General features: G+C 39.6%; 1 protein-coding gene across 21 annotated transcripts in view; it reads left to right on the top strand.

Moving 5' to 3' along the window:
- PACRG (parkin coregulated) overlaps nucleotides 1–14,222 on the top strand; it is a 588,369-nt gene that overhangs the window by 329,078 nt on the left and 245,069 nt on the right. For all 21 annotated transcript variants that reach the window (NM_152410.3, NM_001080378.2, XM_017010277.3 and 18 more), the window contains one exon: nucleotides 5,941–6,112. In NM_152410.3, coding sequence (NP_689623.2) covers nucleotides 5,941–6,112 — 172 coding nt within the window. The remainder of the gene's footprint in view (nucleotides 1–5,940; nucleotides 6,113–14,222) is intronic.

Consider the following 14,222-nt stretch of genomic DNA (forward strand, 5'->3'; position numbering starts at 1 on the left):
CATACAACACAGCATTTGCACTCCTAGGTATATATTCAAAGGAATTGAAACCAGGTGTTCAAACAAAAACTTGTCCAGTAATATTCATAGCAGCATTATTCACAATAACCAAATGGCAGAAGCAACCCAAATGTCCATCTGCGAATTAGTGGAGAAATGAAATGTGTTAAGTGCATTCAATAGAACATTATTCAGCCATTGTTTCATTGTGGGCAGGTCTGTGTCAACCTACCCCTAAGTTGGAGGAAGCTGAGAGACTAAAGAAAGAGACATACAAATCTAGTTGCTTAGAAAAGAAACTTTTAACAGGGACTTATAAACAGAAGCCATGTCTGTGTCCCTGGCAGTGATGAGATGATATGGTAGATCCTGAACCATTACCCCCCAGAAGCAGGACTTATGTGCTGTCAGGGAGGGGTACACACACTTCAGAAGGAGTGGTCATGAATTTGCCCTCACGGTGGGATTTATGGTAAGTAGGTGCTCTTATACGAGGAGGAATAGATAAACTGAAAATCTCAGAGGCATTCCCGGAACTGAGGTTAATCAGAAGCCAACATGGCAGATTAGCACCCAGGATGGAGTTGCTTTGGCTTCCATGCTCCACCCCTCTAATGCAGCTCTTACAGTCTCTCACGCCCTCCTCTTCCATGACCATCCCTGAGCCTTAGAGAGAGCGCTTGATGTTGTCAAACTTTAGCAGCAGTGCTTTGGCAATGGAAAATAGATCAGGCCCAGTGGGATTCCTAATGAGGGAGGTTCACAGGCTGTTGAAGCACCTCTAGTCTTCAGAATACAATGACCTCGGTTTTCTCAGGAGTAAAACAGCGTGAGATATATAACATTAATAATTTGCACTCAAGGATTACAGTCAAAAGAGAATTTGTATCCCAGAACAACAACAAAAAAGTACCTATTCCATTAAAGAGCCAACTAAAAGTATCATGAAGAAAATTAAAACCTGGTTCCTCTTTAGACTTGCAGACAGCAAATAATTCAGGATTTAGCCCAAATTGTAGGTAAATAATAAAAACTCAAAAACAATGGTGAGGGCTAGTATCCAAATTTTTTGGTCTCTAGTTTCCCCGTTTCTGCCAAGGATAAATCATAATAGGACCAATTTATTTTCAAAATAAATTTTGGTCTCATTATACTTGGCCTGGTTATTTGCATAAAATATGGCAAGAATAGTGATCAGCCTGAGCTGCTTATTTATTTTTTTTCCAGACAGAGTCTCACTCTGTCACCCAGGCTAGAGTGCAGTTGCGCAATCTTGGCTCACTACAGCCTGGACCTCCTGAGCTCAAGCAATCCTCCCATCTCAGCCTCCCAAATAGCTGGGACCACAGGTGTGTGCCACAACTCTGGCTCATTTTTTATTTTTTGTAGAGACAGGGTCTCAATATGTTGTCCAGACTGGTAGGCTCTTTTTAAGTTGTCTTTGCTGGAACTTTTATGAGAAATTGTGGATTCTGCTTTTTAAAAGCCTCAAGGCTAGGAGCCAAGCCAAGGATTCACCATTAGACTATGCTTGTAATACCTATACAAATTCCTCTCTTCTTGAATTCCCAAAATATCTTAAGGTTCCCAGGCCTGTTAGTAAATGACATTCTTTACTTACCATAGGTCAGAAACCTTGTAAGAGAACCATTTAGACAAGGTACTAGGCCAGTCTTTCCTAGAAAGAATTTATAAAGTCAACCTCCATTCCTCAGTCTGGTCAATTCTGAAAATATGCCATTCCAGTCAATGCCTTGGTAAAATAACCAATTTCTCCAATTATGCCCTGTTAGAAAAGAAAACAGATTCTTACTGAACTTATGCAAATAAATATATTGCTATCAGATAAAAATACTCATAAATGGTTTCCAAATTTAGGGTAACTCAGGTAGAGAGAAGGGTAAATTTTGTTCACAAAATTATACTTTACCCAACCTCTAAGCTATAAACAGTTCAAAAGAAAAAGAATTTTCTTGACTCTTCATCAATCAGAGTGGCAGCCTTCTAAGCAGGATTACGTACATCCACCTTGGAACTGCCATCCACAAGCCCTGCAGCTCTTTGTCCGTCAGGTGAGAGCTGCCTATTGGGCACCGTAGAATCCAGCAGCTCCTTACACAGTTCCAGAATCAGTCGAACAAAAGCCATATCTGTGTCTCTGGTGGCAGTGAGACGAGGTGTTTGATCCCTACCTGTTGTTCTAATAGTAAGGCAACATATTTGCAATGACAACAGATATTTGCAAATAATGTACAAACAGGTCATAAAAAGAACTAATGAAGGCTGGCCGTGGTTCCTCATGCCTGTAATCCCATCACTTTGGGAGGCCGAGGTGGGTGGATCACCTAAGGCCAGGTGATCTCTAATAAAAAAAAAAATCTCTACTTAAAAAAATACGAAATTAAGGCCAGGCGCTGTGGCTCACGCCTGTAATCCCAGCACTTTGGGAGGCCAAGGCGAGCGGATCATGAGGTCAGGAGATCGAGACCCTCCTGGCTAACACGGTGAAACCCCGTCTCTACTAAACAAAATACAAAAAATTTAGCCAGGCGTGGTGGCAGGCACCTGTGGTCCCAGCTACTCGGGAGGCTGAGGTGGGAGAATCGCGTGAACCCGGGAGGCAGAGCTTGCAGTGAGCCGAGCTCGCACCACTGCACTCCAGCCTGGGCGACAGAGCGAGACTCCGTCTCAAAAAACAAACAAACAAACAAAAAACAAAATTAACTGGGTGTGTTGGTGCGTGCCTGTAATCCCAGCTACTCAGGAGGCTGAGGCAGGAGAATCGCTTGAACCCGGGAGGCAGAGGTTGCAGTGAGCCGAGATCGCACCACTGCCCTCCAGGCTGGGCAACAAGAGCAAAACTCCATCTCAAAAAAAAAAAAAAAAGTTAAAAAAAAAGAACTAAACAGAAGATAATTTTTTGTAGGAAAGAACTGCTGTGGTCAGTGATCTTGGAGGATATGAAGATGTAGAGATAATTTCTTTTCTCTTTCTCAATCTCTCTCACTCGCTCAATCTTTCATTTGACTTTTGTCTTTCAATTGCTCCGTCTTTTTTCTCTTTTCTCATAACTTTTGTTTTTCAAAATTTTGAGAATAGGAATTATGCAGGTACTCAGTATTTATTGTTTGAAGGCACATTATAAAAGAAAAGTGGGAAAAACAAATCTGTAAGTTACTTCAGAGAGACACTTAAAATCTAATGTCAGAGGAAGGAAGAAAGCAGCAGGATAGAAAAGATGTGATAAATAAACCAGTTATAGCAATAATAATATTATATTAGAATCAGACAAACTGCATCAATAATGATAAAGAGGATAAGGACATAAGGGTAAATTCAACAATTTACCAGGAGGTTATAATAATGCTGAACCTCAGTGTGCCAAACAACAAAGCCTGAGAGGCAGTGCCGTGTCATATAGCCAGACTGCTTGGGCTTGAAACCTAATTCCAGCACTGACTAGCTGCAGACCTTAGGCAAGTTATTAAATCTCTCTCTGTTTCAATTTCCTCATATTGAAAATTAGGATATTAATAATGCCTACTTCTTCCAGTCGCTTGAGGATCAAATGAACTAGCACAGTGTTCACAACAGTGTCTGGCATCACAAACATTGGTGTTATTATTGTTGCTGTTGTTGATATTAGTATTATTGCCCCAAAACATATAAAGAAAAAATAGAATTCCAAGGAAAAATAGACATGTCAACAGTCTTAGTAGAAGACTTTTAACTTTATTTATCTCTCACTAAGATAAATTTAAGTTTGGAAATGTTTAAGGTAGCTGCAATAAAATGTTTGAACAGGATGTCTTAGCTTAAAGTCATTACAAAAAAGTAAATAGAACATAGTGTACATAACAAAACTACAAAATACAAAGAAAAAAGTAAATAAAAAACAACAACCGAAGACCAAAAAATAAGATGACAGAAGTTAAATGAGACCATAAATGTCAATGACTTAATGTATTAAAATACAACATCTTAGGCCATAGTAAAATACAAAATTTAATTTTGTGCTTACAAGAAACACTTGTAAAAGTGTGACAATAAGCTAAAAGAATTAGCAAAACATACCAAAAATGTTTTAAAAATATAGTATAGATGACATTTTTATTATGAAATTAGTATACAATGTAAAATTATCCATAAAAACATTGGGCCTTTAGGACCTAAGAAAAAATAATTATTTCAAATTGTACAAAATAATGTTTTAAAACATTTCCAAATGCACATAAATCTCTGAGAAAATATATATTCCATAAATGTATGCTGAATAACATAAATTTTATAAATATAAAAGGAAAGTAAAGTAAAACTGATGTCTGTATAAACCTACATTAGGGATTTGTTTTCTATGCTCCAGTTCCAACAGAGGATCTGGACATTGCCTCTTCCCTGCTTACTTCCTTGATTGGCTGGACTCCCTCTACATCCCCAGCTTCTACCTGAACATGCATTGTAAATGGGAAGTCTGTGAGCAGACTGTAGACAGGCCTGCTGCTTGGGGAACTGTAGGAAATTTGATTCACCCCAACCCACAGTAAACACTCAGGAAGATGATGGGTTCATTACGAGTTACTCACATCCAGGGGTAGGCAGGCATGTGGCGTGAAACTCCAGAATGCTGAGAGAGAGCTGGAAGGTACAAAAATCTCCCACTAAGTGGTATTACAATTTTCGGTTACAAAATCAGAATATCACTTTTTATCCCATAAATATATATTAATATATATATAATGTATGGACTATATATAGGGAATAAATATATGTATAATTTGTCTCTACATAGGGAATATGTATATATGTAATTTATCAATAAAAAATTTGTTAATCTCCTACTAATGTAAAAGGGAGTTTCTCAAAGGTCTTGATGGGCTCCTCACTTGATTAGAAGGTGGTAACTAGAAGCTGGGTGCATTCATAAGGATTTGAAAACCAAGGAAATTATCACCTCTTGCTGGGAAGGCCCCATCCCTTGCTCTGTGTAGATGTATTATACCTGCAGTCTGAGTCTGTGGGCTCATTTCCATGTACACTCTCACCTTCAGCTCTGCCGCCTTGCTGGCAGTAGCTCAGGCCACAGGTACCCTGGACAGTGGAGGGCTCAAGCAAGACCAAATCTTCTACAGGTAGATGATTCCCAACTCACAATCTCTTTTCTCAACCCCAGAGTTTTAGTTCCCATTCCCTGGTGCTGCTGGATGCTACTGCCAAGGTCTGGACAGGGGACATGGAGGGACACTGAGGGTGATGGGTGGAGATGTGGGAAAGAGATTTGTCTCCGCTCCCAGAAGAAGCAGGCAAAGGGAGGTTGGGATGTTTTGACTTTGAGGTGTCAGTGGTCCCAGGTTCAGCCCACTCTTTGTCCTCTCCATTTCTTCTTGATGCCCTGAATGTTCTACCTGTCATCCAGGCTCCAGTGAACAAGCCAGGAATCATGCTTGACCTCTCACTCTCCTGTTTGCCCCAAAGAAGGCATATGCCTCCCAGGAACGTATGAACATGCACTTCTGTAGCTTTCTTCTTAGAACCTTGGGCACCAATCTTTTTCAGCTGTTTTTATTTCTTTCATTTTATTTTTACGTGGATCTTTTCAGCAAACATTCTAGAGGCTTCTTGAATCCTATTCAATATCATACTTGAGCCAAATGGTAACGAATTAACAAAAAGGTAGCAAATTATTAATATGCTGTCAATGTGCATTGTATGTGGATGGGAGATTTAACTGTTAAGGTCTAAAGGTCCATGATTTTAACCTCATTGCTCATTGATTCAGGACATGATGACATACTTCAGGTCATTAGGGGGATGGGTTAAGGAAGTCTTCCTGAAGTTCTAAAGAGCGTGCCCCTCTGGAGTGGGTGACAGCTGCATAGCTTGTCTGCCGTGCTCTGCCCGAATGCTGTTTTCACATGGCGTCTCTTCTTTCTTTACTTTCAGGTAGAAATTGAGAAGCTGGATTACCATCATTATCTGCCTCTGTTTTTTGATGGGCTTTGTGAAATGACATTTCCCTATGAGTTTTTTGCTCGGCAAGGAATCCACGACATGCTGGAACACGGTGGGAACAAGATCCTACCTGTCCTTCCACAGCTCATTATCCCGATAAAAAGTAAGTGAACCGGTGAAAAAGCATCACTCAGTTTATACGGTGTTGCTTTTTGACAACTTGCTAATTAAGCAATAAACCATGACAGACTGAGGTGATCCCCAGTTTTGCAGGAATTTTCATAAATTGACTTAGGAGGCCAGACAACCCAAATCTCCAAAAATATATCCCATCATCAATATTTCACTATGGCTTAGCCACATAAATAAACCAAATTCCATGGGGTTTGTGCTAATTTAAAATGCCTCACAGTAATGACATAAGCATTAACATTAACTTACGCATCCAGAGGTCTTTACCTGCTGCTGCTAACTTCCAAGTCTTTTTTTTGTAAATGGCATCTCTAATTTTTAAATTATAAACACCGTTATGTTGAGTATATTTGAGGTAGTACCATTCATAATTTTAAGGAAGGGAAGCCCAGCTGCATAGGTGAAAAGAAGAATGTTTTTAAATACCTGAAACTTTTAATCTACAATAGGTAAGCTGGGTGACTCTGGGGTAGCCCTGTGATTGGCTTTGTCTGTGAAATGAGATTGTCCTTCCTTTCTGCATGCACCTTGCTCACAACATTGCACGGCCCCTTGGACTGGTTGTCTAAGAACCTGAGGTTGTCCCACGTGACAGCCTTCTGGGGTTCCAGAACACTCTCTGGCCATTCTTACCTTGCTGCCAGTAGAGCCACCCTGATGGGCATGCCTGGCATCCACTGGTACAGGCTCAGGAAGAGGATGGCCTCTCCTCAAGTCAAGGTGGCAGGGCTGGCCCCTCTCACCCTCACCAGCACATCCCCTCCCCAGCCCCAGAATTGCCCACCTGTCCTGCATTGCTACTGCTGCTACTGCTACTACTAATTAAAAGCAGAGGATCAGTGCCTCCTCTGAACACTCATTCTGCAGATGAGGGAGACCCTACCTTTTTCTCAGCCAGAGCTGCTCCAGGCACTTTCACCCCCTGGATCCAGGCCCAACTGCCCATGGCTTCGAGGGGTGAGGAGGCCCCTGCTCCCCCCGCCCCAAGTTCTACCTCATCTTCCACTCCAGGATGGGCAGCTTCCCAAAATGATTGACAGGACGCTTAGCTAGTCTTCTAGGTTGGGGAACCCCACCCTCACTGGCTCAGGTGAGCTCTTGCCGTGTGCTTTCATCAGAACAAGAACAAACTAGCTCAACATAGGGTCATCTCCCAGAGTCTGGATTATTTAATCGTATCCAAGGTCACCATTTTTATTCATTCATTCGAATTTATCCATTCATTCAAATGTATCATGATCAAAATGCTAGATTTCCACAGTTCTGCTCTTACTGCTTGCATCAAATCAACTCTGAAACTCTCCCTCAGATCTTTGAGGTCTCCGTAGAGATCTGTAAGTGACCACACCACATTTCCACCATGACAGACAGTGAAACCAAACCAAAGGACGGTGCTACCTGATGTGCGAGTAACACAGAGAGAAAAGAGACTCTGAAAAGGGGCTTATTAAATAGCAGCTTGCTTGCCTCATCCACAGCTGCAGGAAGGCAGGCTCCTTAAAGGCTGTCAGGGAGGGTGTAGCGTCCCGAGCCACGTTAAAACCTTTTCCAAAAGTAATTTCTTCTCTCAGATGGGTCACATTTTTGAATACATTAAATTCTACTTGAACTGCTACATTTCTAAAGGATGATATGTAGCTTTCTCTGATAAACAAGAAAGGCCCAGAATATTCTCCGCAGGAACTATTTGTTCTTTTCCTCTGGCAGAATAGCAGCAATATTCGGACATATATCCTTTTTTTTTTTTTAAATCAATGCTTCATGTTGGGATCACTGCCTTCTCAGGGGTCTCTCCCTCAGAGTCCACTGGAAGACACTGATAGGCAGAAAAGGAATTGCTAAGTAATATTTTGATTATGTTGTCTGCAATTAAAGCATACCACACTGGAGTTTTGCAGGCCAAGGTAAAGTGATTTTCAATTTTGTTTGATCTGTATTTTGAAGATACATAAATGAGTAAAGCGAGGAGTCATGTGACTAAATTTACAGTACACACATGCTAGAGGTCATCTGCCGATGAGCGAAAACGTTATCAAGAACTCAGTAAACATGATTTGTCAGGGAAAATTAACTAGATATGAATTTGATGATTTAGGGTTCCGGAAGCAATGACAATTTATCTTGGTTGATGCCATTGCGTGGCTTTCAGCGCTTCTGCTATTCGATACTGATCCTGAGTGTAACTGCTCCTTCCTTCTCAATCTGTTTATGTCACTAAAAGCAGACTTTTCTCAAGAAGAAATGCTGATTACTTATGTAAGGTCATGCACAGTTCCAGCACAGTGTGAAAAATATTATGTGCATAAAGAAAATCTTTGAGGAGGAATTCTGAAAGGAGGCTAACAGGATCTAGAAAAGGGCTGATGTACATAATTGACATAACGTATAACATCTCTGTGTATTTTATTTTCACACCATACCCAGTATAATTTTGACTCTATCCAGGGGCAAAAATTAACCTCACCATTACCAGCAAGCAGACTAGAAGTTTTTTTTTTTTTAATTCTAACTAATATCTATGAAAACAAAGCAAAATGTATAAACTCACTGTGAGGCAGTGAGCTGGGATTAGCTGCCCTTGTATTTCTGGAAACTGGGTTGATTTCAACAAATTAGAAGGCTGATAATACTGGAATGAGAAATTGACACATTTAGTGGCTCTGGGGTTTCTAATATGATAACAAACAAGAATCCACCGTTCTTTCTCCTACTGCTGCTTGGTTCAAGCCCCCAAGTTCTGGAATAACCCACACCGTGGGTCTCGGACACCTATTTCACTGACGTTGTTTTCTGGCACAACTACTGCTGCTCCCTTTTCCCTCCCACCTTTCTGATTTCCATCTTGAGTTATTTTGGGTCAGAAACTCCAAAATCATGCTGACATAAAGTGCTCAGGGTTGGTGATGGAGCATTGATTGCTGGGAGCAGCAGCAAAACCTCATAGGGGAGGCTGAGAAAAGAGCAGCCCTCTTACTTGTCTGGATCGGGGATTACAGATTCACATTTACTCCATCCAGTAGGAAAAGACAAATCCTTCTCAATCCATCAGAGTGAAACCAGGAGGCAGTGTCTGGAATCTCCGCATACGAAATTCAGAAGGGGATTCTTCCAAAACAGCGGTCAAGAGGGCAGAGAGGGGCCAAGAGCAACCAGCAAACTCTAACAATCTCTCTCCTCAATAAAAGTGAGAACAGTAGCAACACTGCAGCCACAGGGGGCCATGGGAAAAATCTCTACACACAGGGAAGGAAGTATTGTGCACAATCGGAGGAAAAGAATACCTCAACAACATCTGGCATATGAACCAGAAGAAACTTGTAGAAACTTGTTTGACATCCTCAGGATTCAGGAAGACGTGGCCTCTGAGAAACAGAAGCAGAAATCCAGAAGAGGAGATTAGACTCAAATAAAAAGAAGTCCATTTTGAACAGGACAAGGCAAACTGAAAATGCCGTAGTAGAACTAAAATCTCCATAGAAGTATAGAGAATAATCAACTGCACAAGATCAATTATAAATGCAACGTTAAGGCGCTCTCTCAGAAAAGACAAGTGTATAAAAATAAGGCCAGAAAAGATATTAAATTGGAGGACATAGAACACAAAAGAGTTAAAAGTTAGTGTTCCCAAGAGGAACTATCAGAGCGACAGGAATAGCAATCATAATGGCAGAGGTGATTCGAAGAGATGTTCTAGGAGGAAAAATTATCTCTTATTACGCAGGTAGAAAATACTTGCAGCAATCTAAAGAAAATCAGTGAAAACAGACTCAGGTGGAGGCACAATTTGCCAAAAACTTTAAATTATAACATAAAGAAAAATCCTTCAAACGTCTGGACAGGGGAAAAAGCAATACAACAACAAATAATACTGAGGCTAAGATTTTTTGCAAGAGTAAATTCCAGACAACAGAGCACCTTTTAGAGAAATGGGGAGAAACATCTTGGGCGTGATTTTACCCCGGTCATGTGAAGAAAAACACTGTGGACGCAGTGACTGCAGTATCCCTCTGTCCTTCATCCAGAAGGTGAATGGGGCTGTGCTCCAGCTCACAGCAAGTAAAGCACAGTGAGAGTCCCCAAGTGAGGAGGACAGTGTAGTGTGAAAAGCAGTCAGCACTAAACCTAGGGTTATGTCTAAATAGTGGAGGGAAAAGAGTTTCAAAGCCACATGAAGTGTTGAATCATAATTTTGCAGTAATGACTCTTAAAAATCCCAGGAAAACTGGGGTCTACACCCTCAAAGTCAATGCAGAAGATAAAGGTAGTTAAACAGAGTCTGTCTATTAAAAGGACAAAAGCTGAGTAGACAGCAAGGAAGGGCTAAGAACCAAAAGCACAAAATAGGATGAAGAATGTAACATCCAATAGATCAGCTACGAAAATTAACTTTACAACTGAAAAAACAAAATCTGTATGTAAACTCTCTAAAAAACAAAATAATACTTAAATATGTTCAAAGATATATTGGAATAAATAAAAAAGCAGAAGTCGTGATTTTAATTTTAGAAAAGTAAAATTTAATTGTAAAGAGTTTTCAAGTGTATAAAGAGGATCAATTTATAATGATTAAAATATTCACAACAAAAATTTAATAGTCATGGCCCACTGTGTACTGCAAACTATGACATCATATTTGAGAAAGAATCAGCTGCTACTCATCGTTTTCACCCCGGAAGGAAGGTAGACTTCTTGACTGAGAGCTAAAAAGATCCCTGTCCTTCCTCCACTTCCTGACCTTTGACTTTAAGATCTAGGATCTTCACCAACCCAAGTGAACAGCCTTCCTGCTGTAGCACCGCTTCCCAAGCTTCAGTATGCATCCGCGGACCTTGGTAAAATGCAGGCTCCAGATCAGCAGATGCGAACGGACCTGAGATGCTGCATCTCTGACAAGCCCGTGGTCGATGCTGTTGCTGCCGGGCTGAGGCAAGGCCTGCTAGGGCACAGTGAGTGCTTGGACGCCCCAGGCCCCACCAAAGAGTCCTGGACACGAGAGCCAGGCGTGGGACATGGGTGGGAGGGGAAGAGATGAATGCTAATTTTCTCCCTTGTATGTGGGATCAGGAGATACTGCATTGTTCATAATGTGCATGATTAGAGAAACACAACTTTAAGATTTTAGGCCTTAAATGTAACCATTCATGGATTAAAATAGATAGTATGCATATGAGGTACAAGTGAAAGAAAAAACACTTTCAGTAAGGCAATCTTTTTTTAAAGAAAGCCAAGGTAACTTGTAAAAAAATAGAAATACAACAAGAGGACAAAAGGAAAACCAAATAATCTGTTGTTTCCACGAAGGATTGGGAGAAATAATTCACTAGTCACAAGGAAAAAGTCTTGATTTGGAAACTCCTTTGAAAGACTGGTTTTAGCAGGGACTGCCAGTCACCTCATGTTGATTAGAATTTAACTCCCCTCCACAAACATACCTTCTTCCCCACTAATTAATGATCACATAAATACTGTTCACTGCAAGTCCCACATCTGCTATGATTACTTTTCTAATACAACTTGTTTTTCTCAGCATTGATAATTGCCTCTCATTTTGCATACTTGATTTTTATATACTTCCTAATTTTCTTCAAGTATTACAAGATCTGTCAAAAGAATATTATTTTCAAAATGTTCAGAACATTAAATAACCCAGATTTATCTGACTTCATCTGAAATTAATTTTATTTCCCTTTCTGGAGACATTCACTCTTCCATCCTCCATCCATCCATTTGCTCCAATCTGGACCACATATTGTCTTGGCCTGACACTTCCTGTTACTCCTTTTTTATGTTCAACCTCTTTCCTTAGCTCTTTGTCTTGTTTTCCTCATCACTGTTAGAGTTTGCATCTTCTAGTAATTTCCGGGAAGCATATGAAAGGTATATTTTTTAGTTCTTGCATATCTGAAAATTCTATCATCAAGCTTGATTATGAGTTTGCTTTGTTGAAAACCCTTTTCATTCAGAACAGGGAGGTCATGTCTCTATCGCCTCCAGAGTCTTATGTTGCTTTGAAAATCTTGATGCATCTGAATTTCTAGTCATTTGCCTGTGACCTATTGGCCTCCAATCTCTGAACATTTTTGAATCTTTATCTCTGGTGATATGAAATTTTATGTGGATATACTTTAATGCTTTTTTTTTTTTTATCAATTTTCCCAGGAAATTTCAATTTAGAGACCTATGTCTTTCTGCACTAAAAACTTTTTATGTGTTACTTCTTTAACAGTATCTTCTCTCTGTTTTCTCTTGGTTTTCTGATGTAATTCCAGCCAGTCATCTATAATGCCTCCCAGTGGATTCTCTTAGTTCTTTATCTTTTTGTTCATTTTTTCCTACTCTGTCGCTTAGTTCTATTTCCTGAGAAATGTCCTTGACTCTATCTTCCGAAATTGTGAATATTTCACTTTAGTTATTGTAACTTTCCTTTCCTCTGACTGTTCCTTTTTTTATACTATTTGGTTCTTTTATGTTTATTCTCTTATCTCTCTGTGAATATTTATTATAGATTTGTAGCGCTTTTCTTTGTTTGGGGTGGGGGGTATTTAGCAGTTTCTTTTTGGCTTCCTGACTTATTATTTTTTTGACTTATTCAGTAAAAATAAATTTTCCCTTTGCTACCATTTCAGACTTTCTTTATCCTGCTTATAGATCAACAGGTAATATACTGGCTAAGAGCATAGCCTGGAATCAGACTCACCAATTGACCAACAAGGCAGTACCTCTATGACTCTGCAAGAATCTCAGCATTACTGGGCTTGCAGTGCTCCCAGTGCAGATACAGCTTAGACAACAATACCCAAGTCCTTTCGAATATCTGAAAAGCCTTCCAAAACAGGATAGCTATAAATAAGCCCAGACTGTGAAGACCGCAATACCTAACTTTTCAATGCCCAGACGTCAAGCATCAAGACCATCCAGGAAAACATGAACTCACCAAAAAAAAAAAAAAAAAAGTAAGTTAGTTACCAGGTACCAATCCTGGAGAAATAGAGATATGTGACTTTTCAGACAAGGAATTCAAAATAGCTGTGTTGAGGAAATTCAAAGATATTCAAGATGACACAGAGAAGAAATTTAGGATTCTGTTAGATAAATTTAACAAACAGATCCAAACAAAAAGAACCAAGCAGAAATTTTGGAGTTGAAAAAATGCAATGACATACTGAAGAATGCATCAGAGTCTTTTAATAGCAGAATTGATCATGCCGAAGGAAGAATTACTGAGCTTGAAGACAAGCTATTGGAAAACACACACTCAGGAGAGACAAAAGAAAAAAGAATATAAAATAATGAAGCGCACACTTACAGGATCTAGAAAATAGCCCCAAAGCGGAAAATCTAAGAGTTATTGGCCTTAAAAAGAAGGCAGAGAAAGAGATGGGGTAGAAAGTTTATGCAAAAGGATAATAACAGAGAACTCCCCAAATCTAGAGAAAAATATTAATATCTAAGTACAAGATGGTTATAAAACACCAACCAGATTTAAGCCAAAGAAGACTACCTCAAGACATTTAATAATTAAACTCCCAAAGGTTAAGGATAAAGAAAGAATCCTAAAAGCAGCAAGAGAAAATAAACAAATAACATTCAATGGAGCCCTAATACATCTGGCAGTAGACTATTCAGTAGAAACCTTACAGGCCAGGAGAGGGTGTCATGACATATTTACAGTGCTGAAGGAAAAAACTTTTAACCTGTAATATATCCAGCAAAAATATCCTTCAAATATGAGGGAGAAGTGAAGACTTTCCCAGAAAAACAGAAGCTGAGGGATTTCATCAACACAAGACCTGTCCTACAAGAAATGCTAAAGGGAGTACTTCAATCAGAAAGAAGAGGATATTAATGAGCAATAAGAAGTCATCTGAAGGAACAGAACTCACTGGTAATAGTAAGTACACAGAAAAATAGAATATTATAGCACTGTTATTGTGGTGTACAAACTACACTTAAGTAGAAACACTAAATGATGAACCAATAAAAATAACTACAACAACTTTTCAAGACATAGACAGTATAATAAAATACAAATAGAAAAAAAAGTTAAAAAGCAGGGGGACAAAGTTAAGATGGGGGTTTTG

Source organism: Homo sapiens, chromosome 6, assembly GCF_000001405.40.
Source record: "Homo sapiens chromosome 6, GRCh38.p14 Primary Assembly".
NCBI classification, from domain to species: domain Eukaryota; kingdom Metazoa; phylum Chordata; class Mammalia; order Primates; family Hominidae; genus Homo; species Homo sapiens.